Source organism: Homo sapiens, chromosome 3, assembly GCF_000001405.40.
Source record: "Homo sapiens chromosome 3, GRCh38.p14 Primary Assembly".
Taxonomy (NCBI): Eukaryota; Metazoa; Chordata; class Mammalia; order Primates; family Hominidae; genus Homo; species Homo sapiens.
In genome coordinates, this window is record NC_000003.12 from 181,509,698 (window position 1) to 181,537,638 (window position 27,941).

The following is a 27,941-nucleotide window of genomic DNA, read 5'->3' on the forward strand; positions in this document are numbered from 1 at the left end:
CCCACCCAAATCTCATCTTGAATTGTAACTCCCACAATTCCCACATGTCATGGGAGGAACCCAGTGAGAGGTGACTGAATTACAGGGACAAGTCTTTGCTGTGCTGTTCTTGTGATAGTGAATGAGTCTCATGAGATCTGATGGTTTTAAAAAGGAGAGTTTCCCTGCACAAGCTCTCTTCTCTTGTCTGCTGCCATGTGAGATGTGCCTTTCACCTTCTGCCATGATTATGAGACCTCTCCAGCCACGTGGAACTGTAAGTCCAATAAGCCTCCTTCTTTTGTTAATTGCCCAGGCTTGGATATGATTTTATCAACAGCATGAATACGGATTAGTACAGTAAATTGGTACCAATAGAGTGGGAGCACTGCTGAAAAGATACCTGAAAATGTGGAAGCGATGTTGGAACTGAGTATCAGGCAGACATTGGAACAGTTTGGAGGGCTCAAAAGAAGACAGGAAAATGTGGGAAAGTTTGGAACTTCCTAGAGACTTGTTGAATGGCTTTGCCCAAAATGCTGATGGCAATATGGACAATAAGGTCCAGGTCCAGACTGAGGTGGTAGCAGCTGGAAATGAGGAACTTGTTGGGAACTGGAGCAAAGGTGACTCTTGTTATGTTTTAGCAAAGAGACTGGTGGCATTTTGCCCCTGCCCTAGAGATCTGTGGAACTTTGAACTTGAGAGAGATGGTTTAGGGTATCTGGCAGAAGAAATTTCTAAGCAGCAAAGCACTCAAGAGGTAACTTGGGTGCTTTTAAAGGCATTCAGTTTTATAAGGAAAGCAGAGCCTAAAAGTTCAGAAAATATGTAGCCTGACAATGCAAGAGAAAAGAAAATCCAATTTTCTGAGGAGAAAGTCAAGCCAGCTGCAGAAATTTGCATAAGTAACCAGAAGCCGAGTGTTAATCCCCAAGACAATGGGGAAAATGTCTCCAGGGCATGTCAGAGGTCTTCACAGCAGCTTCTATCACCACAGGCCCGGAGGCCTAGGAGGAAAAAATGGTTTAGTGGGCCAGGCCCAGGTTGCCCATGCTGTGTGCAGCCTAGGGACTTGGTGCTCTGCGTGCCAGCTGCCACAGCTGTGACTAAAAGGGACCAAGGTACAACTCAGGCTACAGCTTCAGAGGGTGCAAACCCCAAACCTTAGCAGCTTCCATGTGGTGTTGAGCCTGTGAGTGCACAGAAGTCAAGAACTGGGGTTTGGGAAGCTCTGCCTAGATTTCAGAGGATGTATGGAAACGCCTGGATGTCCAGGCAGAAGTTTGCTGCAGGGGCAGGGCTCTCATGGAGAACCTCTGCTAGGGCAGTGCGGAAGGGAAATGTGAGGTTAGAGCCCCCACACAGAGTCCCCACTGGGGCACCACCTAGTGGAGGTGTGAGAAGAAGGCCACCATCCTCCAGACCCCAGAATGGTGGATCCCACTGACAGCTTGCGCTATGTACCTGGAAAAGCTGCAGACACTCAATGCCAGCCCATGAAAGCAGCTGGGAGGGAGGCTGTACCCTGCAGAGCCACAGGAGCAGAGCTGCCCAAGACCATGGGAACCCACCTCTTGCATCAGCGTGACCCAGATGCGAGATATAGAGTCAAAGGAGATCATTTTGGACCTTTTAGATTTGACTGCCCTGCTGGATTTTGGACTTGCATGGGGACTTTAGCCCCTTTGTTTTGGCCAATTTCTTCCATTTGGAATGGCTGTATTTACCCAATACCTATACACCCAATGTGCCTTTACCCCCATTGTATCTAGGAAGCAACTAACTTGCTTTGATTTTACAGGCTTATAGGTGGAAGAGACTTGCCTTGTCTCAGATAAGTCATTGGACTGTGGACTTTTGAGTTAATGCTGAAATGATTTAAGACTTTAGGGGACTGTTGGGAAGGCATGATTGGTTTTGAAATCTGAGGACATGAGATTTGGGAGGTGCCAGGGGTGGAATGATATGGTTTGGCTGTGTCCCTACCCAAATCTCTTGAATTGTAACTCTCACATGTCATGAGAGGAACCTGGTGGGAGGTGACTGAATTATGGGGGCAGATCTTTCTGTGCTGTTCTTGTGATAGTGAATGAGTCTCACAAGATCTGATGGTTTTTAAAAGGGGAGTTTCCCTGCACAAGCTCTCTTCTCTTGTCTGCCCCCATGTGAGATGTGCCTTTCACCTTCTACCATGATTGTGAGACCTCCCCAGCCATGCGGATCTGTGAGTCCAATAAGCCTCTTTCTTTTGTAAATTGCCCAGTCTTGGGTGTGTCTTTATCAGCAGCATGAAATCGGCCAAATACACTGTGGTAAAATAGAATAGAAAGCAGCTGATGCAAGTTAGGGAGGTCAGTTTGCAGAAGTGATATTGGTTGGTATTGGTCTTACCTTTCTCTAAGTGGTGAAAGGAAGATAAGCATAAGACACTGAGAATACCAGTAGTCAAGATAATGAGATGTGGAAGAGCATCAGTCTTCCAGGGATGGCAAGCTGTCTGGAGTGATTTGAGTATAGAAGGTTGTGAGGAATGACGGAAAAGAAGGAAATGGACCCAGAAAGTCAAGGGCTGTCAGATGTTAAGGAGGGGAAACCATGCTAACAAACCGAATAAGGAAAGGACCTTTGGGGAGCTTCCACGAGAACATATTCACTATTATGTATCATCCCTTGTGGGGTTATTGATGACTTGTTTGGGCCAGAGGGTAACCAAATGTCCCGGGAATGTTGCTGAACTTGTGTTGAGACAACTGGTAGAGGTCTCAGACTAAGGAGATGAGGGAAGATATAACTCAGAGAGCAATTAAAACTTCTTGCCTGAGGAGTGAAATCATGAAAATTGTGTTTGGGGAAGGTCAGACAAATACAGTAGTTATGAAGGTGAGAGGGGAATTGACTAGAGGCCAGGAATTAGGCTTCAAGACAATCTGAAGGAGTCTGTTTGTGTGTGTGGTCTGGCTAGGGAAATGGTTAGGAAGTACTGAGATAGGAAAGAAACAACAGAGGAGTAAGTGGAAGGATTAGAAAAGAAATATGTAGGTGTCAAGGGAAGGAGAGGAGTAAATATACTATATAGAATCCCCAAAGTAGTGCTGTATAACCATATATATCTGAAGGATGCTATGACTCAGGTTGGGCTTTTGGTTCCTTTTGGGTTCCTGTACTGTACTACTGTTCTGCTTTTAAAAAAGGAAGAAAGGAAGAAAGGAAGGAAGGGAAAGAGGGAGAGAAAGAGGAAGAAAAAAACACTATCTTGCTATCTCATTGAAAGTCTTCTTTCCTTATTTCCTTAATTTTATTATTTATTTATTTATTTATTTATTTATTTATTTATTTATTTTTGAGACAGAGTCTGGCTCTGTCATCCAGCTGTAGTGCAGTGGTGCCATCTCGGCTCACTGCAACCTCTACCTCATGGGTTCAAGTGGTTCTTGTGCCTTAGCCTCCTGAGAGCTGAAATTACAGGCATGCACCACCATGCCCAGCTAATTTTTGTATTTTTAGTAGAAATGGGGTCTCACCATGTTGGCCAGGCTGGTCTTGAACTCCTGACCTCAAGTGATTCACCCACCTTGGCCTCTCAAAGTGCTAGGATTACAGGTGTGAGCCTTCAGACCCAGCCTATTTCCTAATTTTAATTCCATACAATCATAACTTCTTTATTGGGTATATAGATCCTGCACTAAGGAAGGGAATTTCTGCATAAAGGAACTAAAAAGGATTAATTTCCCTCACTTAAGTTTGCAACAACTAAAGCAGAAAGGAAATAGGCTTTTATTGTTTGGAGCTTTGTGAGCAAATCTACAGTGGAATTTTTGTTATTTATAAATTGGAGTATTCTAAAGATGACTGTGGAGCAAGCTTTGTCATCTGTGGGCATGATAGGCCACTTCTAAACCCAATCTTGTTAATTAGGGATGCAACCTCTTCTCAGTCTGTTGTCTTAAGCTGAAAACATCAAAAGCCATGATGTTTTCTATACGCTTTGACTAAACTCTCTAAGAATTTATTATTAAAATTTTGTGTGGTTATATCCGAAGATTTTGTTGCATGGGTATTTCGTCATCAGTAGTAAAAGGGGGCACATACCTTGGTGCATACCTATAATCCCAGCTGCTCAAAAGGCTGAGACAGACGGATCCCTTGAGCCCTGGAGTTAGAATCCAGCCTGGGCAACCAACATAGTATGACCTCATCTTTAAAAAAAAAAAAAAAAAAAAAGGAAAAGGAGGGCAATCTAAGTTTCTCATAAAATGGAATTAGTTAAATAAATTATGATGCAGCCATATGATATACAATGAAATATTCTACAGCCTAATAAAATCTTATATCAACACATTATTTAATATCATAATGTTCACAATATGGTGTTAAATGAAAAGGTACATTAAAAATAGTCTGTACTGCATAATCCTATTTTTATAAAAATTAATTATATGCATATATGTTTGTGCATAGAACAAAGAATTGAAGAATATTCATTAAAATATAAGTTATCTTTGTAGGAGGTTTTTTGGCTTTCAAAAATAGACACTTTATTATTGACAGTAGTGAAAAACCAAAGCTACTTAAATGCTCAACAATATAAAGTGGCCAGATAAATTAGGGTACATGCAGAAGCTGAAATACTTTAATGTCATTAAAATTATGGTTCTTGGAAAATTTTAGTAATGCCCAAAGTTGTCCATAATGTAATATTAACTGAAATATATATATATATATATATATATATATATATATATATATATACACACACACACACATTTGGACAGTTGCCAAGGGCTTGGACAGTTGCCCTTTGAACGCTAATACACCTGTGATGAGAAGGGAAGTATCTTTTATAGAAAGAAGAAGCTACTTGAGAGAGAAAGAGAGACAGAGCTATCTCTGTTGTTAGAAGGAAAGCTTTATGACAACATGTTTTCAGGTTTAATGGTTCTAATTTTAAAATATATGTATATACATAAACACACACACACGTGAATACTTTAAGTATATATGGATATATACCCAAATATTTTCCGTATTTTCCATATTTGGGTATGTTTAAATACATGTTTTCCACATATATTTGGACATGTTTTACCTGTGTAATTAAAAAAATAAAGTTCTGTGTCTTATAATAAAACACAGAACCATGTAACCAGTTCTCAGACTTAAGAGCAATACATTTTTTAATATAATTTCAGCTTTTGTTTTAGATTCAGGGGGGTATATGTGCAGGTTTGTTACCTGCTATATGGCATGATGCTGAGGTTTGAGATATGAATGATCCCATCACCCAGGTAGTGAGCATAGTATCCAATAGGTAGTCTTTCAACCCTAGCCCATCTCCCTCCTTCCCCCTTTAGTAGTCCCCAGTGTCTATTGTTCCCATCTTTATGTCTATGAGTACCCATTGTTTATCCCCCACTTATAAGTGAAAACATATAGTATTTGGTTTTCTGTTTCTGCATTAATTCACTTGGGAACATGGCCTCCAGCCGCATCCATGTTGCTGCAAAGGACATGATATTGTTCCTTTTTGTAGCTGCATACTAGTCCGTGGTGTGTATGCATCACATTTTCTTTATCCAATACATTGTTGGTGGGCACCTAGATTGATTCCATGTATTTGCTATTGTGAATAGGGCAGCAATGAATATTTGAGTGCATGTGTCTTTTTGGTAGAATTATGTATTTTCTTTGGAGTATATATCCAGTAGAGGGATTGCTGGGTTGAATGGTACTTACCAAGTTCTTTGAGAAATCTCCTGACTGCTTTCCATCATGGCTAAACTATTTTACATTCCCACCAACAGTGTATAAGCATTCCCTTTTCTCCATAGCCTTACCAACTTCTATTGTTTTTTGACTTCATAATAATAGCCATTCTGACTGGTGTGAGATAGCATCTCATTGTGGTTTTGATTTGCCTTTCTCTGATGATTAGTGATGTTGAGCATTTTTTTTCATGTTTGTTGGCCAAATTTGTGTGTCTTCTTTTGAGAAGTGTTTGATTGTTTTCTCTTCCCACTTTTTAATGGGGTTGTTTCATGCTGGTTGAATTATTTATGTTCCTTATAGATTCGGGATATTAGACCTTTGTTAGATGCATAGTTTGTGAATATTTTCTCCTATTCTGTAGGTTGTCTGTTTACTCTGTTGGTAGTTGCTTTCGTTGTGTAGAAGCTCTTTGGATTAATTAGGTTCCACTTGTCAATTTTTGTTTTTGTTGCAATTGCTTTTGAGGACTTAAACATAAATTCTTTCCCAAGGCTGATGTCCAGAATGATGTTTCCTAGATTTTCTTTCAGGGTTCTTATGGATTGAGGTCTTACATTTAAATCTTTCTTTAATCCATCTTGAGTTGATTTTTGTATATGGGAAAGGTAGAGGCCCAGTTTCATAGTTCTGCATATGGCTAGCCAGCTATCTCAGCACTATTTATTGACTAGGAAGTCCTTTCCCCATTGCTTGTTTTCGTTGACTGTGTTGAAGATCAGATGGCTGTAGGTGTACGACTTTATTTCTGGGTTCTATATTCTGTTCTGTTGGTCTATGTGTCTATTTTTGTACAAGTACCGTGCTGTTTTGGTTACTGTAGATTTATAGTATAGTTTGAAGTCAGGTAATGTGATGCCCCTGGCTTCATTAATTTTGCTTAGGGTTGCTTTGGTTATTCAGGCTCTTTTTTGGTTTCATATAAATATTAGAATAGTTTTTTCTAATTCTGTGAGAAATAACATTGGTGGTTTGAAATGGATATCACTGAATCTATCGATTGCTTTGGGCAGTATGGCCTTTTTAACAATATTGATTTTTCCAATCCATGAGCATGGAATTTTTTCCCACTTATGTGTGTCATCTCTGGTTTCTTTCAAAAGTGGTTTGTAGTTCTCCTTGTGTAGATCTTTCATCTTCTTGGTTAGATGTACTCCTAGCTATTTTATTTTTTGTGGCTATTGTTAATGGGATTACATTCTTGATTGGGCTCTCAGCTTGAATGTTATTGGTGTATAGAAATGCTTCTAATTTTGTGCATTGATTTTGTATCCTGGAACTTTGCTGAAGTCATTTATCAGTTTCAGGAGCCTTTTGGTGGAGTCTTTAGTGTTTTCTAGGTATAGAATCATATCATCAGTGAAGAGAGATGATTTGACTTCTTTTCCTATTTAAATGCCTTTTATTTCTTTGTCTTGCCTGTTGCTCTGGGTAGGACTTCCAGTACCATGTTGAATAGGAGTAGTGAGAGTAGGTGTCCTTGTCTTGTTTCAGTTTCCAAGAGAAATGCTTTCATCTTTTGTCCATTCAGTATGATGTTGGCTGTGGGTTGTCATATATGGCTCTTATTATTTTGAGGTAAATTCCTTTGATGCCTAGCTTGTTGAGGGTTTTAATCATGAAGGGATGTTGGATTTTATCAAAGGCTTTTTCTGCGTCAATTGAGATTATCATACGATTTTTAATTCTGTTTATGTGGTAAATCTAATAGTTATCTTTGGATGGTGATTTTTATATTCTTCTTTGGCCTTTATATTTTCTAGAATAAATATACAGAAAATAATACTTCTTAAATAAAGGAAAAGTACTTAAAATATCCTTTTAATGGCATTTCAGTATACTTTTATTTTGAAGCTTAAAGCATCAATATATTTGTCACACTCAAGTGGTGGCTAAAGCATTTTTTAAAACAATTTCTTTAATTATTTATTTAAGTGAAATTCATCCCAACAAGAATGGCTCTCAAAAGAAAGAAAAATGAATACTTTGTCATTTAGAAATATTTTATTTTCCTGTAACGATGCAGTCAGAATAACTATTTTGGTCTTTTTGTTCAATCTGACAGCTCAACATTTCTTGGGTATACATGTGTAATCCATAGGTAGTGAATTTGGAAGAAGTAAAGAGATGAAAAGGGACTTTCTGCTTGGGCAGTTGCCCTTTGAATTGCTAGTATACCTGTGATGAGAAGGGAAATATCTTTTTCTTTTTTTGAGACGGAGTCTCACACTGTCCTGCAGGCTGAGTGGTATGATCTCAGCTGACTACAACCTCCGCCTCCCAGGTTCAAGCGATTCTCCTGCCTCAGCCTCCCAAGTAGCTGGGACTACAGGCACATGCCACCACGCCCAGCTAATTTTTGTATTTTTAGTAGAGACAAGGTTTCACCATGTTGGCCAGGATAGTCTCGATCTCTTGACCTCGTGATCCACCTGCCTCTGCCTCCCAAAATGCTGGGATTACAGATGTGAACCACTGCACCCGGCTGGGAAATGTCTTTTATAGAAAGAAGCTACTTGGAAGAGAAAGAGAGAGATAGAGGGATCTCTGTTGTTAGAAGGAAAGCTCTATGACAACATGTTTTCAGACTAGAGATGAAAAAATTACTTTCCAAAAAGCTGAACTGAGATTACAAAATGATAGGGGTGTGACTCTCAGAGCATCCTGGGCAATGTGATAAGCAAGGAAGCATGGCAAGTGTGTGGCAGAGAACTCAGCAGAACCCGAACTGGTCATTCTCCCCACGGCCATGTGACTCTGAGAAGACGCCTGAGACATATCCCGGGAATGGAAAGTAGAGAGAGAAAGAGAAAGCCAAGCCTTGAGAAGTCTCTTTCTCTCTCTCTCTCTCTCTCTCTCTCTCTCTCTGTGTGTGTGTGTGTAAAAATGGCATATGAAAAAAGCCAGAAATACGTAATTTGATTTGGTATGCTAATCAAGTTGTGATCCTTAATGAAAAGAGTTATGGCTTCTCCATCAGTCAACCCAGTGAAAGATTAAATACTGCAGATGAGAGGTTAGAGGATAATGGCACAGTGACCACAGGAGTAAGGGAGATACTACAACCATGGAAAATGAGGGTTGTCTTTCATACCATACCAGATTAAACGTCCTAATGCACAGCTCTAATCAGATTATAATACTCCCTCCTCAGAAACCTTTCATGCCTCCCATCCCACCACACCCCAGGGCCTATTGAAGGAAGCTCAGATTTCCTGGCCTGGCATACAAAGTGTTTCAAGGTCTGGCATCAACCTCCTTTAAAACTTTACCTCCCAGTGCTCTCTTTCACACTGTGTGTGCTGCAGCCAAACAGGATTCTACACTGGACACATCCTGGCTTCCCCACTTTTCTACTTTGTACACACTGTTTTCTCTACCTGGAAGGCTCTTCTTCATTGTTGTGTAACCACATTCAGCTATCCGTGAAAGCTCCATCTCATGTGTCATTAGTATAAAAAGCTTCACTTGGTTCCTTCCTGGGCTGCAAATAATTTCTCCCATTCTCATTCCCTCATTTGTACTTCTCCTAGTGCTATTTTAGTTCAATCTAACCAGCATTAATTGATCATGTAGCATGTATAAGGCACTGTACTTGGCCGGGTGTGGTGGCTCATGCCTGTGATCCCAGCACTTTGGGAGGCTGAGGCAGGTGGATTACCTGAGGTCAGGAGTTCGAGACCAACCTGGCCAACATGGTGAAACCATATCTCTACTAAAGATACAAAAATTCGCCAGACATGGTGGCAAGCGCCTGTAGTCCCAGCTATTTGGGAGGCTGAGGCAGGAGAATCACTTGAACCTGGGAGGTGGAGGCTGCAGTGAGCTGAGATCATGCCACTGCACTCCAGCCTGGGTGACAGAGTGAGACTCCATCTCAAAAAAAAAAAAAAAAAAAAAAAAAGACACTCTACTCTAGAAATACAACTGCACACATACACAAACACACACAAATAAATTTCATGTCCTCAAGAAGCAATTAGTGTAAATGGGAAATAAGAAGCTAAATAATAGTTCATTATGAATTTGTGTGAAAAAAATAAAGAAGAGAAGCATATTCTAAATCCACCAATGTCCCAAAGAAATGATTAGATCATCCAGTTGGTCATTTGGAAGTCCTGTCATTCCCTTAACCCACACATCCAGCCTACTGGCAAGCCTGTAAACTGCATTTCCAAAACATATCGTGAATTGGTCCCCTTTTCTCCATTTCCACTACTGCCACCATCTCTTGCCCTATCAGTCTCCCTAATAGTCTCTGCTTGCAGTCCTGCCTTCCTGCAACCATTCTCCACAGAAAAGTCAGGGAGAGCTTTCTAAAACGTTAATCAAATCATATCTTCTTACTGCTTATAACTTACTCCAATGATTTCCAACTATTCGTAAAACCAGCAGCTCTTTCCATGGCCTACAAAGTCTTGCATGATCCAACATCCGCTTCCCTCACCAGCTTCATTCTCCATCTCTCTCATGCCCTCCACTACTTTTCACCCTCATTGATCTCATTTCCATTCTTAGATATGCCAAACTTGTCTAATCTTGGCATTTTTCATCATCTTTTCCTCTAGCCTGGAACATTCTGCCCGTGGATCTCCTCATGGCTCTTCTCATTTTCCGTTATTAACAATGAAGATGTATGCTCTCCTCTGATTGCTTAAATACCACTTCTCTGACCGTCCTACTTCAAGAAAACACCCACACCCTACTACCCTCTATTACGTCCCTGTGTGTGTGTGTGTGTGTTCTTCGTAGAAATTTTGAAATTGGAAATTATCTTGTTTAGTAATTTACCCGCTGCCTGTCACCCCCACTACAAAACAGGGAATTGTTTATTTCACATCTGCCTATCAACTAAGTTTATCATATTCCCTGGCATCTTGTAGGCACACAATAAGTATTTTTGAATAGTATTAATCACAGCTTTCATCTATGTAATACCAAATGTGTGTCAGGCACTGTTCTAGCACTTTACATATATTAACTTATTTAATCTTTACAATAATCCTATAAGATGGATACTAATATTATCTCTTTTTACAGATAAGAAAATAAAGGTATTGAGAGGCTAAGTAACCTAAAGTTAAATAACTCTTAAATGTCAGAACTAGGATGCAAACTCAGAGTATGACTCCAGTGCCCTTGCTCTTAATCCCTGTATAATACTACTTCTGCAAATGAAATTAATGTTGAACTCTGCTTGTATGGAAGGGAAAATCACTCAGAGGAAAAAAAACGCTACAGTGAAATTTAGGACAACCAAGAGTTTGCCAGAGAATAAAGGCACAAGAGGCATTCCAAGCTGAGGGAAGAGTGTATACAAAAGCATGCATTTATCCTTTTCTGCCTTTTGCAATAGTCATTTGTGCATATCTTCTTTTTTGCAATTGTATATACCTTAAATTTAAATAGTATTTATTTATGTACCTGCATGCCCTGAGTGGTGCATATACATTAGTTTTCGACATCTTTTTCTGGAAAGAGCTATGAACACAAATCCAGGGGGAAAATGTGTTCTTACCCCATTCTAGAATTTCAAGTCTCTATGACCTCGTAAATGCTCTCTGAGCCTTAGTTTCCTCACCAGTAGAATGCGAAAGATAACCCTTCGTATCAGGATTCTGGGTGCCGTCAAAGAAATTATGATATGAAAGGCAGGTGCATCTATAAAGCACAAAAGAAACATTCATGTTCTCATCTGCATACAGCTTAATTTAGCTTAGTAATTCCTTATTTTTCCTCACACCTTAAAGTCCAGGTCTTTCAAAACTGGATTTTCTTTCTTGACTCAGCTGACTTAATGGGGCTAGATGACTCCTTTGGGTTGTTCAGTAAAGCTTTATTTTGATGAGACTCAATTCTTTACTAATCCTACTACCTTCCATAGTGTATAACTGAGATATTGATTGGAATTGCATTAATCTGTGAATCAATTTGAGGACAAATGACATCTTAATATTAAATCTTTCAATCCATGAACATGCTATATTCTTCCATTAAATTAAGTTTTTAAAAATTCTCCCAGTTGTGATTATTCTGTTTGTAGAGGTCCTGTACATCTTTTCTAAGCATTTAATGATTTTTGATGCTATCGCCTATAATATCACTTCTTAAGTTTATTTTCTAGTTGGTTTTTGCTGCTATGTAGAAATACAATTTATTTTTATATATTGACTTTATAGCCAACATTCTTTTAAAACATTAATTCTAAGAACTTATTTGTATAATATTTTGTATTTTCTACATACACAATTATGTCATCTGCAAATAATGATAATATTATTTCTTCCTTTCTAAACATTATACCTTTTATTTTTCTTGCCTTATTCCATTGCCCAAGCACCCCCAATACAATGCTGAAAAGTAGTAATAGAGGGCATCCATGTGTCATTGTACATTTCAGAGGGAACTTTTTCAAGATTTTATCATATGTTATCATACTTTCTGTAGGTTTTTTGTAGATGCGTCTTCTCAGTTTAAGGAAGTTCCCTCCTGTCTTAGTCTTTTCAGGCTGCCATTTAAAAAATGCTACAGACTGGGTGTCTTAAACAACAGAAATTAATTTTCTCATAATTCTGAAGCCTGGAAGTCTGAGATCAGGGTGCCAGCATGGTCAGGTTCTGAGAAGGGTTTTCTTCCTGGTTTTCAGACTGCCGTCTTCTCACTGTGTCCTCACATGGCCTTTCCATGATGTGTGTATGTGGAGAAAAAGAGAGCAAGCTCTCTGGTATCTCTTCTTTAAAGGGGACTATTGCCACCCTGAAAGCCCTACCCTTATGACCTCATTTAACCCTTATTACCTTCCGAAGACCTAATCTCCAAATACCATCACGTTGGGGGATAGGACTCCAACATATGAATTTCAGAGGGACACAAACATTCCATCCATAACACCGCTTATTTCTGGTTTGCTGAAAATGTTTAACATGAGTGGGTGTTGAATTTTATCCACTGCTATTTCTGGACCTATTAAAATTACCACATGATTTTTCTCCCAATTATTTCACTAATGTGATGATTTAAAAGAAATAATTTTCAAATATTAAACCAGCCTTGCGTTACTGAAATAAGCTCAGCCTGGTCATAATATATTACCTTTGTAAGCATTCCTAGATTTGGTCTGCTAATATTTTGCTTGGAATTTTTGTATCTATGTTCCCGAGAAAAAGAGGAAAGAAATAAACAAGGAAAGGGAGAGAGAGAGAGAGAGAGAGAGAGAGAGAGAGAGAGAGAGAGAAAGTGCTCTATAATTTTATTTTTTATAATATTCATATTAAGTTTTGATATCAAGGCTTCATGTAATGTCTTAGAAAGTTTTCCCTCTTTTCTGTTGTTTTAGGAGGATTTTGTGTAATTTGGGGTTTATTTCTTCCTCAAAAATTTGATAGAATTTGTTGATGAAGCCATCTAGGCCTGGTGTTTAAAACTATAGATCCAGTCTCTTTAATAAATGTAGTACTATTTAGATTTTTTAAATTTCCTCTTGGTTAGTTATACTTTTCTAAGACTGTATTCTTTATCTGATTTTGTATTGGCATAATACTGTTTATAATCTTTTAATTTGTCAGTTTTACATCTGTAAGATCTGTAGTATTGTCCTGCTATTGAGTAGGTATACCTTCTCTCTCCCTTTTCTCTCTTTTAAATCAATCTTACTTTCTATAGATTTAATTTTCTTTTTCTTTTCTAACTTCTTGAGGTAGATGCTTAAATACTTATTTTTAATCTTTATTCTCATCTAATATTTTAATCTTTATTCTCATCTAATATATATATCAATTTCCCTCAAAGCATAGTTTTAGTTGAATCCACAACTTTTGATATGTAGCATTTTTATTATCCTTCAATTCAAATATTTTCTAATTTCCAGAGTGATTTCTTCCTTGACCCCCCCCCCCGCACATTTAGTAGTTTATTGTTTAACTCCTAAATTTTGTGAATTTTTTAGCCTTGTTATTGTTATTGACATCTAGTATATATCCAGTGTAGTCAGAGACAATGCTTTGAATTTTTTTGTTTTTTTGCTTTATACTTTACTATACATCAATTGGAACAAATGTTCCATGTTCACTTGAAAAGAAAGTAGTTTGGGGGTGAAATGTTCAGTTTGTTAATTGTATTTAAATCTTCTGTTCATATTTTTTGTCTGCTTGTTCTATCAGTTACTGAGACAGGTATGTTGAATTATTCCACCATGATTGCAAATTTGTCTATATCTTCTTTTAATTTTGTCAATTGTTACTTTATATATTTTTCATGCTATGTCATCAGGTGCATACAAAGTCAGAATTTTAAATCTTTTGGTGAGTTGAAACTTTTATTATTATAAAATTCATAAGCATGTTGATATCTTATTTCTTGGTCATGTTTGTGAATGGCTTCCTTTTTTTGGGGGGGCGGGGGTGGGGGACAGAGTCTTGCTCTGTCACCCAGGCTGGAGAAAATGGCTTCATTTTAAAAAGATATTCTCACTGAGTATAAAATTCTAGGTTGACAGCAAAGTTCTTTCAGTGTCTTAAAAACATAATTACTCTGTGTGCTGGCTTTCATTTTTTCTTTTGAGAAAACAGCTATCTTATTTTTGCCTCTTAAGGTAATATGGTTTTTTTCTTTCTGCTTTTAAGATTTTTCTCCCTCAATTGGTTTTCAGTTCTTTCACTATTATGTGCTTTGGGGTGGTTGTGATATGATTTGGATGGTTTGTCCCCTCCAAATCTCGTGTTGAAATGTGACCTCCAATATTGGAGGTGTACCTAGTGGGAGGTGTTTGGGTCATGGGGACAGATCCCTCATAAATGGCTTGGTGCTGTCTTTGCAGCAATGATCAAGTTCTCACTCTACAGGTTCACACAAGGGCCAGTCGTTTAAAAGGGCCTACCATATTTTTCTTGTCCCTGCTCTTGCCATGTGCTGTCCTGGCTCCCCCTTTATCTTATGCCATGATTAGAAGCTTCTTGAGCCCTCATTAGATGCAGATTCCAGTGTCATACTTCCTGAACAGCCTGCAGAACCATGATCCAAGATAAACCTCTTTTATTTAAAAATTACCCAGCCTGAGGTTTTTCTTTAGAGCAATGCGAAAACAGCCTAACTCAGGTTGTCTTTGTAGTTATTCTATGTAGTGTTTACCATGCTTGTTTAAAATGTGGCTTGATATCTTTTAATAGTTTAGAAAGTTCTCAGTCATTATCTTTTCAAATATTGCCACTTTCCTAGTTCATCTCTACTCTCTGTTCTACGAATGTATCTGATATACCTTTTATGCTTCTTTTCTATATTTTCCATTCTTTTGTCTCTCCATGCTTATCTGATGTTTTTTCTTGAGCTGTCTTCCACTTCATAAATTCTTTCTTAAACTGTGTCTAATGTGCTATTAAACCCAATTATTATATTTTTATTTCTAATTTTTCTATTTTTGAGATGGAGTTTCACTCTTGTTCCCCAGGCTGGAGTACAATGGCACAATCTTGGCTCACTGCAACCTCCGCCTCCTGGGTTCAAGCAATTCTCCTGCCTCAGCCTCCCGAGTAGCTGGGATTACAAGCCTGTGCCACCACACCCAGCTAATTTTGTATTTTTAGTAGAGATGGGGTTTCTACATGTTGATCAGGCTGGTCTCGAATTCCCGACCTGAGGTGATCTGCCTGTATCGGCCTTCCAAAGTGCTGGGATTACAGGCGTGAGCCACCACGCCCAGCCTTCTAAAATTTTTATTTGATTTTCTTGTATAGTTTTCAATTTCCTATTAAAATGCTTCATCCTGCCTTTTAATTTCTTGGACATATGGAACATAATTATTTTTAAACTTATGTCTGATAACTTCATTTTCCATATCTCCAGTATATTTATTTCTAGTATCTACTTTTTGTCGTGTCATATCTTCTCATCTCTCTCATTAATATTTTAAAGATATTTTGAAGCTTCTGATAACATTATCTTTCTTTAGTGACAAGTTACAATTGTTTCTGGCAAAAATTTAGGCTATGACCACCCCTGATCTCGTGTCACCTTGAAATGTGATGAACTAGGAAATAAATTTGTTCAAAGCTTGGCTTTAATCCCTGTAACCTAGTTCTGGGTTAATTTTACTCTAATAACACAGACTTTCTGGTTCACAAACCAATTTGGGTTATTATCAAGGTCTTGCCTCCTTGGTGGGCTCTGAGAGTCCTGAAAGCTTTGCACAACTTCTTGGCCTGTTTGCAATGCTTTTAGAATTGGCAAACACCTTGAAGGGGAGAGCCAAACAAATGTTGGACTCAGTTCTCTAGGTTTCTTCTTTCCCTAGATATTGGACCCACAAATCTTCACTTTCTTGAGGGCTTCTTAAATGTTTTTTCTGGATTCAAAAAGTATATTTTGTCCTGTTTAACCAGTCATTCTCAGCAGGAAAATTGATCCTAAACAGCTTAGATTGCCATTTCAGGCAGTGTAAATTCCCATCATCTCTTGCCAATTTTATTACAATAGACTTAACTATTCTTCCTGCTTCCACCCCAACCCACTTCTGTCTATTCACACAACAGTCAAGGTGACTCTTTTGAACATCTGTCATATCATGCCATTTTTTCCGTTCTAAATCCTCTGATGGTTTCTTATCTCACTAAAAGAAAAGCTTAAAAAAAACTCTTTACTTACAAGGCTTTGCATGACTTACCTTCTCTCAGGGAACACACTCATCAGAAGAAAGCTGGTAAGACAAAATAGAATTTCAACTAAAAGCATTATTAATGATAGATTGGCATTCCACATAATAATAAAAAGAGCAAACCCTTGAAAAGATATAACAATAATGAACTGTTATGTACCCAGCATCACAGCTTTAAAATGTTCCAAACAAAAAATGACAAATTACAAGTAAAAATTGGCAAGTGTACATTTTTAGAGTGATATTCTGAGACATTTCTTTTAGAAATGTATGGGTCAAGCAGACAAAACATTAACAGCATTATAAAAGATTTGAATGCCAAAATAATAAATTTTATCTAGGACACATAGGTTTCTTCTTTCCCTGGATATTGGACCCACAAACCTTCACTTTCTTGAGGGCTTCTTAAATGTTTTTTAAAAACATTAAAAAATAAGATAGCTGCTTTCTCAAAAGAAAAAATGAAAGCCAGCACACAAAGGAATAGCAGATTAGACACAGATTAGGCACAACATCCTGTAAATAAAATAATGTCCAAGGGCATGGAACATTTATGAAAGTTGTCTATTTACTAGGTCACAAAGCAAATATCAAAAAATGTCATCAAATAGATATGTTACATGTCTCCAACCCATAATGCAATTGTTAGAAATGAACAACAAAAACACTTTTACAAAGTGTACATTAAAAGACTTTAAAATATAACCATAAATATTTTTGATTTAAGGCATAAATCTCTTGTAAATATAAAAATATTTTGAAGCTAAAATTTCTGAAAATACAAGAGTTGAGAGATCAAGAAGCTGGAAAAAACAGTAAATTCAATGAAGTTACAACAAAAGAAAAACCTGTAATAATGCTAATTAGCTTGATTGTGGTAATAATTTCACAATGTATACATATACTAAATCATCATATGTACACCTTAAATGTATACGGTTTTTATTTGTCAGCTATACCCTAATAAAACAGAGGAATAAAAAGAAATACAAGTAATAGAACAGATATCAATGAAATAAAAACAAAAACACTAGTGAGAATTGACAGAACCTGGTTTTTAGCAGGAGAGGTGGAGGGAGAGTGAGAGAGAGAGAGACAGAGAGGGGGGAAGGAGCACAAGCACATATTCAGGCACAAATAACATTAGGAATAAAAAGGAATCAATTAAATATTATGGTAGAGGTTTTTTTTTGTTTTATGTTTTTTGTTTTTTGTTTTTTTTGAGACAGGGTCTCGCTCTGTCACCAGGCTACAGTGCAGTGGCATGATCTTGGCTCACTGCAGTGAGCCTCCCCAGTTTAAGCAATTCTCCTGCCTCAGCCTCCTGAGTAGCTGGGATTACAGGCGCAGGCCGACAGGCCTGGCTAATTTTTTTGTATTTTTAGTAGAGACGGGGTTTCACCATGTTGGACAGGATGGTCTTGATCTCCTGACCTCGTTATCCGCCTGCCTCGGCCTCCCAAAGTGCGGGGATTACAGGCATGAGCCACCATGACCGACCAAGATTATTAAAAAATAATAAATACTATACTACTGTTTTCCATAATGGTTGTCCTAGTTTACATTTCCACCGGCAGTGTAGAAGTGTTCCCTATTCACTGCATCCACACCAACATCTATTATGTTTTGATTTTTTGTTATGGCCATTCTCGAGGGAGTAAGGTGGTATCACATTGTGGTATTGATTTGCATTTCCCTGATCATTAGTAATGTTGAGCATTTTTTCGCATGTTTGTTGGCCATTTGTATATCTTCTTTCAAGAACTGTCTATTCATGTCCTTAGCCCACTTTTTGATGGGATTGCTTGTTTTCTTCTTGCTAATTTGTTTGAGTTTTTTTGTAGATTCTGGGTATTAGTCCTTTATTGGATGTATATATTGTAAAGATTTTCTCTCACTCTATGGGTCGTCTGTTTACACTGCTGACTGTTCCTTTTGCCATGCAGAAACTCTTTAGTTTAATTAAGTCCCAGCTATTTATTTTTGTTTTTATTGCATTTGCTTTTGGGTTCATGGTCATGAAATCCTTGCCTAAGCCAATGTCTAGAAAGGTTTTTCCAATGTTATTTTCTATAATTTTTATAGTTTCAGGTCTTCGATTTAAGTCCTTGCTCCATCTTGGGTTGAGTTTTGTATAAGGTGAGAGATGAGGATCCAGTTTCATTCTTCTACATGTGGCTTGCCAATTATCCCAGCACCATTTGTTGAATAGTGTGTCCTTTCCCCATTTTATGATTTTGTTTGCTTTAAAGATTGGTTGGGTAAACATTTGGGTTTATTTCTGGGCTTTCTATTCTGTTCCATTGGTCTATGTGCCTGTTTTTATAACAGTACCATGCTGTTTTGGTGACTATGGCCTTATAGTATAGTTTGAAATCAGGGAATGTGATGCCATCAGATTTGTTCTTTTTGTTTAGTCTTGCTTTGGCTCTGTGGGCTCTTTTTTGGTTTCATATGAATTTCAGGATTATTTTTTCTAGTTCTGTGAAGAATGATGGTGGTATTTTGATGGGAATTGGGAAAACAGTATGGAGATTCCCTAAAGAACTAAAAGAAGGACTACCATTTGATTCAGGAGTCCCACTACTGTGTATCTACCCAGAGGAAAAGAAGTCATTACATGAAAAAGACACTTGCACATGCATGTTTATAGCAGCACAATTTGCAATTGCAAAAATGCAGAACCAGCCCAAATGCCCATCAATCAATGGGTGGATAAAGAAACTGTGGTATATATACATGATGGAATACTACTCAGTCATAAAAATGAATGAATTAATGGCATTTCTAGCTACCTGGATGGGATTGGAGATTATTATTCTAAGTGAAGGAACTCAGGATTGAAAAACCAAACATCACATCTTCTCACTAATAAGTGGGAAGTAAACTACGAGGATGCAAATGCATAAGAATGATAAGATGGACTTTGGGGACTTAGGGGGAAACGGTGGGAAGGGAGCGAGGGATAAAAGACTATAAATTGAGTTCAGCATATACTATTCAGGTGACGTGTGCACCAACATCTCACAAATCACCACCAAAGAACTTACTCATGTAACCAAATACCACCTGTTTCCCAAAAACCTATGGGAATAAAATAAATAAATAAAATAAAGATGGAGAGAAAATAGAAAGAAAAAATAATAAATAAAATAAATTACTTAGGCTGATTTTATTGAAAACTTAGATGAAGTGAACATTTTTCTAGAAAAATATAAATTTCTGGATTGACTCATGAAGCAATAGAAACTCTTAATAAATTAATAACCATTAAAAATACAATAGCTACAGTTAATATAAAGGATTAGTAACCATTATAGCCAGGTGTGGTGGCTCTTTTCTGTAATCCCAGCACTTTGGAAGTCTAAGATGGGAGGATTACTTGAGGCCAGAAGTTGGAGTCCAGCCTGGACAACACAGAGAGGCCTCATGTCTAAAATACATATATATATATATATATATATATATATATATAGAGAGAGAGAGAGAGAGAGAGAGAGAGAGAGAGAGACTATTTACATATATATATTTATATATGTAATAGTATTAAATATTTATTTATATTAAATATTACATTTATAAATGTAAATAGTATTAAATATTACATATTAAATATGTAAATAGTATAGTAAATATATGTAAAATGTAAATATTTACACATATATAAAATACATATATATATGTATACATCTATCTATATATATATATATATAGAGAGAGAGAGAGAGAGAGAGAGAGAGAGACTATTTACAGAGGATTAACCACTAGAGGGAATGAAAAAGAATTCTATAAAGAATGCTGTAGGGCTAAGGGAGAGTGCCCAAGGAAATAACAAACTTAAAAGGTGGTTGGGAGGGGGGACTTCCCCAGACCTCACTGGAAAAGTTGTAGTTGCACTGGATGGAAAACAAGATTGCAGAGTTGATCCTGGTCAAAGCTGGTTCCCAGATGGCAAGCCCAAAGCTATCCTTAAGCTTTCAGGGTAGAGTGTTCATGGACCTCTCTGGGAAGCTTGCCATAGCAGGTCTCCTGAACTCTCTGGGAAGTTAGTTAGAGTGACTGTGGAACTTATCAGGAACATCCCCACTGGGACAGCTGCTGCACTTGCTGGAAGCCACCCTCACAGCAGGAGGGTGTCTAAAATTTTGGGGGGCTGAGCTCCACTAGGTGTACAAGAGTACACCCACTGAGCACCACAAGAGTAAGAAGGAAGAAAAACATCCTGGAACAAGAAAAGAAGTTTGCCACATTATTTATATTACCAAAAAGTTGAAAATATGTATATTAACAGTTAAATATAAAGTTAAAATGAATTCATCCTACATGTATCGACATAAATATATCACAAAATGTAGTTTTCAGTGAAAATTTGCAGAAGTTTTGTACAATATTATGCAATGTATAATAACTTTTAAGGCATGCAATACTATATACATGTATTCTGTGATAGTATGTGTGGGAATGTAGCAAATTTAGAATGTTGATGGCCTTTGAAAAGAGTAAGAGGAGAATGGAAGTGGGAAAAAGTATAGAGGGACATTTAATTAAATGTAATATTTTATTAATTTATAATAATTACTTGTTTAATGTTTCTCATAATCACTGCACTGGTCAAAAGCTTTGTTTTTCTTGTTCACTCCTGTTATAATCATTAATGTAATAAATCATTTTTATTACAGTAATAAAATAATTTTTATTACAGTAATAAAATATGACATTAATGTAATAAAATCATTTATTACAGTAATAAAATAATTAATTTTATTACTTCTTAAAAGATATTATAAAAATGGGAAATATTGATTGAGTTGAGTAGTGAGTACTTAAATGTTTGATAATATTACCCTTTATAAATTGACTGGTCACAATATATTCTGAAGGGCAGATTTTAAAATCTGTTCAGCCCAAAATTTTCCAAACTTTTCTGACCCCAAATTTTCTTTTCAACAAAATACTCATTGATATTTTACTGAACCCTATTCCATATAGCACAGATTAGAGAAATGAAGATTTGCTCAAATGAAACAGGTTATACATAATTCAATCAGTAAATTTATGAGAAGGAATTAGTCTATTAAAGAAATCATTCCAGCTGAGTCTGATTTGTTAAATGATAAACATAGTTCTCCCAATGTTTGATTTTCAAGTCATACTTTATCAAGCCGTTTGTGATACCTTAGCTCAAGCCTTGATTTTTCAACTGAAGAATCATTTGCAGTAGAAAATATTACAAAAGAAAAGTGTTGTGACCTATATGTCCATCCAATCCCACCAATTTTCCTGATTCTACACAAGCTCAATCAGCTGTAACACCCTTTAATTATCCACTAAAATAGTCGTTTTCCAGTTCAAAGCATTCAAAACCTACAAAAGCTTATGTTTTGGGCAGTGATTGACAATACTCCTTTGGAGGTGGGGACCAGAGAAATGCAGCTAATTCTTCACTATTTCTTCTTATGGATGTCTTTGTAATAGAAAAACATAAACTCAGATTTTGTAAATATCACTTGTCTAGTCAGGATGCTTGATTCTTAAGTAAATCAAGGAATTCATAAAAGCAATTTAAATAAAAATATACCATCAAATCACTGGCTGGTACCATTTGGTGTAATTTGCTGACCTCAATATTTGTCAGTTTTTCTACAAACACATAAATTTTAGTGCAATCTTAATTTGTAAAATTGTAAGAAAACCTTGCCAGGGGTGACTACTTCAAGAATTGAAAATTGGCACTACATTTAAGCATTGAAAAGAATTATCTGTTCTCCCTTTAAGATCTGTCTTTCCATAAACAGGGTTAACTCTCTTTTTCTGGTGTCACAAAAATGTTCATTTATTTATTTATTTATTTATTTATTTATTTATTTATTTATTTATTCAACAAAGTTTTCTTTTTATTTAATGTGCCAGATGTTGAATAGCTTTAAGCCAATATTGGTCAACTGAGCTCCTTTAATAAAAAATGACCAATGAGGCAATAGAAGCTGTATGACTTTAGAACGGCAAGTCCTTTTATTCAATGAATATTTATTGAGCACCTACTATGTTCCTGACATAGTTCTGGGCATTAATGATTATAACAGGAGTGAACAAGAAAAACAAAGCTTTTGAGTGCAGTGATTATGAGAAGCATTAAACAAGTAATTATTATAAAGCACAATGAGTATGACTATAGGAGAAATACAACTTGATCTTTCAGAAGCTAACTGGCTTTTATTTATTTTAAAATTATGTTTTAGCACCTAATATTTGCTAGGCATTGTTCTAGGAATTGGAGTACAGCAAGAAAATCATCAAAGTACCTGTTCTCACAGAGCTTGCGTTCTCATGGCAGTCAAATCTGCAGCAGTAGTTTTTATCAGCACCATGCACAAAACCAGTATTTTCCAAAGAGTGATACTTTTACTGCCCATAGAACATGAGATAATGTAGGTGGTTATATAATAATAATAGTTATATACTTATATTTATAATTATTTTTTATTCATAGCTTGTGATACAGGCTTTCTGTTTGTGGTAGTATATCTAATGATGCCTTTCTAACTGAATTTATTTAATTTTTTTAAAGCTGAGTTCAACGAAAAGTTATTTAGTAAGAATAGGGTGTATATCAATTTGGCAAAAAAAAAAAAAGTTATGGTGATGCACATATTACCAAAAATTGGGAAACACAAAATAAGATGTTATCTGGTTGCCAAAGGTATTATTCCATCACCCAAATTCTCAATATAAACTTTTTATTATTTTAAAGTGTTAATAGATATATGACATAAACTCAATTTTGCGGCGGTGGGGGGTGGGGCGGGTAAGAAAGAAGACAGATTTAAAACATTCTTTACTCCTGTCTTTTGTAAACTGCTTGAAAGTGGGGAAAGTCTTATTTATAGTTCTCAACATACCTGTGCTTAGTAGGCACTAAATAAATGCTGCATAAAGGAATGAAAGAACTAATTAATGAAATGAGAAATGCTCTTTTGTACCATTCAAACTATAGTGAATACTCTGGACTGACTGAATGTAATTACCCATAGGGTATGAGAGGGAAGAGTCTCTGTGAACCAATCCATCTACAAGAACAATTTAGGGCTCTGCCCCGAAGATTCAGATCTGCCTTTCTAATAAAAGGAACATAAAAGAGATTAACCTTTATGCTGTGTAACTGCAGACCAATTGGTACAGCTTGCCTTATATCACTGCCATAGAAGCACAGTGATAATGAAATACTCTTACCAAATTGTATGTATTTTTCAGAAGCCTGTCTAAATTAAGATCCCATTAAATAATATATTACCATCAGTGGGGTCTCAGTATTACGCTAACAATTGAAAGAGAACCCATGGAAATTGCAAATCATAGAGAGTTCTCATTGAACCTATAGAAAGTAAAAAAAAAAAAAAAAAAAAAAAAAGGTAGGGTGAAAGCAACTTTAAAAAATGGCATCCTGATAATTTTGTGTAGGGGAAAAATACTAAAATGCTAAAATATTGTTACTTTCCACATTTTCTGCAGCTTTAGAATAAAGTTTTATTTCTCTTATTTCAAAATGTTAATTCCTGTCATTTTCGACTACTGAGGAAACTATTTTCTATGTTGAGACTTTGAAGAATTAAAAGATTGCTAACTTTTTTGCTAATAGAAGAATCTTAAGAAACAGTTTAATTTCAAAGAACTCAAGATTCACTTACAACAAGTAGCTCCTACTTTTGTTTTTGCTGCGACAATTTTAAAGAATAACTCTACAGAAGGCAATCTCTCACTGCCATATGAGTTCAACTAGGAATTATTCTCTTTTCCTTTCCAAACTGTGATTGTCACACAGTTAGCAACACACAAATAAAGTTAATATTCTGGTCCTGTTGATATCATTCTCAGATTTTCTTGTCACGTGTCATCAGAAATATTGGCATTCGGCAGGTTGGTACATGCCCACTGCCAAGTCCTCTTACTGCATCAGACAAACTTCATAAGCCTTCCTGAACCTATTTGGTAGAAACAGGATCAAGACATCTCCGTTTGAAACTAAATTCTCCCAGCAGCTACACCTCAAGCAGTGGACATCTATTTGCTTTCTCCTTTTCCAGGCCGTGGTATGAGTCAAGTAGGATAGGACAAAGGTGACCTGCTGAGTTATCAAACTTGCTATTCTCCAAGAAACACACATATGGTTTGCTCAATTTGAACAACTGCCTGGGAACAGGATTCAGTTCCCGATCCTGCCTAAGTTCATTGTAAATAGTTTGACAGGGGGAAAAATGGCTTTCTTCTTCTTGCTAATGCATCTTTGATATGTACTACATCTAGATCCACTTACAAGTAGTTGCTATGTCAGTCCTTTGACTTCCCTGGCAAATCAATCAAAGGATCTACCATTTATCTGCAAAAAAAAAAATTAAGAAAAATGATTTATTGGTGCTGAGCCTACACTTCCATGATCAAAGACCCTCTATGAGCATGCATTTTGTAAAGCAAAACTGTGGTAAATACAGCACAGAGAGTGTGCTTTCCAGTGACCAGGTAAGCAAGGATTATTTATTCATTTATTTATTTGCATATTTACACTTACATTTTTGTGTGGGAGCATGTCAAGTCAGAGATTAGAAGGCAATTTTCACATAAAAGCTCCAAAGAAACATGTTGTTATTCTGTGGAAGTTATTTGATTGTTCCTCATAGTCTTTTCGTTTCAATTGGCATTTAGAGAACTAGCCACACAGGCTGCTCCCCATCTTCCTGCATGATACCATTTCTTCCTGTTCTCCTTATCTATAGCTGTGATGATGCACAGCTTTCTCTTTTTTCTTTCTTGTGGGTTTGTGCAGTTTCTTGATGTTTGTGACAGGCCACGATAGGGGAAGCTTTTATCACCGTGGGGTTTGGAGGCCTCAGTAAATTGAAAATTGCAAATGAAATCCACTGGGCTTGAATTCATCAGCTATTATGTCAGATGACCTTTGGCAGCTGCTGATAAAAATGAGAGAATGTTAGCTCTGATCCAATTTTCAGCACTAACCATTCCTTTTCAAATCCATTCACAGTCAGGCAGCAGACACATGGGAAGTGAAAATGATAGGGTTTCAAGAGAACGGCATTGTGTTGCAGATTAAGATTTTCTCCCCCTATTTCTAGAGGTCAGCCCCCAGGCCCCTGTCTGGTATCTACCTATTGTCCAATCAGTTTCAATATCTGCTTCAGAGGACATGTTAGCCATCCTTACAGATAAGTGCTTACAGGAGAGAATGTTGGACTTAATAGTTTTGCTTAGGAGGCATCAAGGGTCGCAGTGTAGCAATATTGACTGGCACATGTTAGTTTAATCTGACATACCAAGGAATGTGACACTAGATTCTTTCAGAGTTGTTGATCTCTAGGTGATTTTTGTTACCAGCTCTGGTTTTATGAAATTTATTTTTGCACAACTATTTATATTCATGAGTCAGAGATATTCTAAAATATCTATCATAGCCAAGCAAAGGCAGCCTAAGCTTGTCTAAAAAAAATATATGGATGCCAAAATTATGAAACTGGGAAAAAATGAGTTGTGCGTATTCTGTTCTTGCAATCCAGCTAAAGGTCAATGTCATTGATAGTATTTTAGGAGCTAGATTATCCTGAAATAAATATGTGTCTATCGACTGGTAGGCTTCTCAATAAATGTAATAGATTTTTATCATGCAGAGAAAAATAATTAGCCTTGTTACTTTCCGCTGAGGTAGCATGAACCAGCAAAATAATGCTATATATGGTTGAGTCATCAGTATGATTTCCCATCTATGAAACACAGGAGCAATCTGAAAATAAAGAAAACTGAAATTAATTTTTTCTCCACAGTTTTCTGTGTTCAGAAAAGAAAAAAAAATCTCCTTTGATCCTTTGAAAATGTTGAGTTCATTGAGGGAATAGTCTCAAGCAAATGCAAAGTTGAGAAACACCAAATAATTGAAAACCATGTGTCATTATAAGCATTCACCCAAAAATATGATAAACTGAAAAATATTAAATCTGCATTTCTCTAGGTTTTCCTGGTATGCATATTTCTTCATTTTTTTCTCTTGACATTGGTTAACATTATATGAAAATAATTGTTCATATATGACTAGGGTTGCAAAAATGCTTTTTATGGCTTAGCAATTCCTTTCTGATACACCAACCCATAGCATTATGGAGCTCTAAAAATGCTTAGATGGCCGGGCGCCGTGGCTCATGCCTGTAATACCAGCACTTTGGGAGGCTGAGGTGGGCGGATCACCTGAGGTCGGGAGTTCGAGACCAGCCTGACCAACATGGAGAAACCCCATCTCTACTAAAAATACAAAATTATCTAGGCGTGGTGGCACATGCCTGTAATCCCAGCTACTCGGGAGGCTAAAGCAGGAGAATCGCTTGTACCCAGGAGGCAGAGGTTGTGGTGAGCTGATATCGTGCCATTGCACTCCAGCCAGCTTGGGCAACAAGAGCAAAACTCTGTCTTAAAAAAAAAAAAAGTTTAGATGACTCTTCTAAATGCCAGTCTTTGGAAAGAAAAAATACGGTTCTATAAGCTTCCTTCATAAGAAAAACAATATAACAAATATATATATGTAAGTTATCCATATGTTACATCTTACTTTTAAAAACTAACTTAAAGTTAGTATCCCACTGTTTGCCTTACTACCTTTTGTTGATATTCACAAGTTCTTTTAAGAGAGGACAATTATCTGTTGTCCAGTGAGCATGTATAAATAAAATGCTTAATGATAGTATCAAAAAAAATACCATATGCACATTTTTTTGGAGATAGGGTCTCACTTTGTCTCCCAGGCTGGAATGCAATGATGCAAACACAGCTTATTGCAGCCTCAGCCTCCCAGGCTCAGGCAATCCTTTCACCTCAGCCTCCTGAGTAGCTGGGACTACAGGCATACACCGCTATGCCGGCTAAGTTTTGTACTTTTTGTAGAGATGGGATCTCGGCATGTTGCCCAGGCTTGTTTCAAACTTATGAACGCATGCAATTTGCCCTCCTTGGCCTCCCAAAGTGCTGGGATTACAGGCGTGCACCATCATACCGGCCTCCGTATGCACATTAAAAGTCTGTTTTTATTGAGTAATATTTTAAAAGACTCAAGCTATAAGCAATAACTGGGTCTAAAATTAACAGAGGATCCAACCAATCAAAAAATATGGATCCAACATATTCCATGATTTCCCCAAATAATTGGATTTTCTGCTTTTTTTTTTTTTAACCAATGAAGGGACACCTTTTAGAGTCCCATATATTTCTTTTTCTTTTTTTTTTAGTCTATATTTTCCAATTTATTTTAAAGAATGGAAACTATGCTGATAAGTTTCACTTTACCTAAATTTACGAGTACATCCATGAATTGCACCACAATTAGGACAATTTGATTATCTTAATGATTCTGTCATGAAACTTGCACACTGTATCCAAAGGTAAAGACCAGCGGATGGAGCCTCCCACAAGTTCTGTGCACAAGGACTTTCTTCTTGGGAGTTAAGGTATCTGAGAAAGTAGTTCTCCTCCCAGATTAAGTCCTCAAAAATCCATAGATTTC

At 36.8% G+C, this 27,941-nt stretch overlaps 1 long non-coding RNA gene across 3 annotated transcripts in view, besides 1 other annotated feature; it reads left to right on the plus strand.

The window, feature by feature from the left end:
• Nucleotides 1-27,941, plus strand: part of SOX2-OT (SOX2 overlapping transcript) — a 685,549-nt gene that overhangs the window by 453,018 nt on the left and 204,590 nt on the right. The window lies entirely within an intron of this gene.
• Nucleotides 25,500-26,699: an enhancer, noted in NCBI's record as "MED14-independent group 3 enhancer chr3:181252985-181254184 (GRCh37/hg19 assembly coordinates)". NCBI's record gives its function as "activates an origin of replication core promoter dependent on BRD2, BRD4, P300/CBP and CDK7 cofactors, and independent of MED14, by STARR-seq in HCT116 cells {active_cell/tissue: HCT116}" and the evidence as "EXISTENCE:reporter gene assay evidence [ECO:0000049][PMID:35650434]".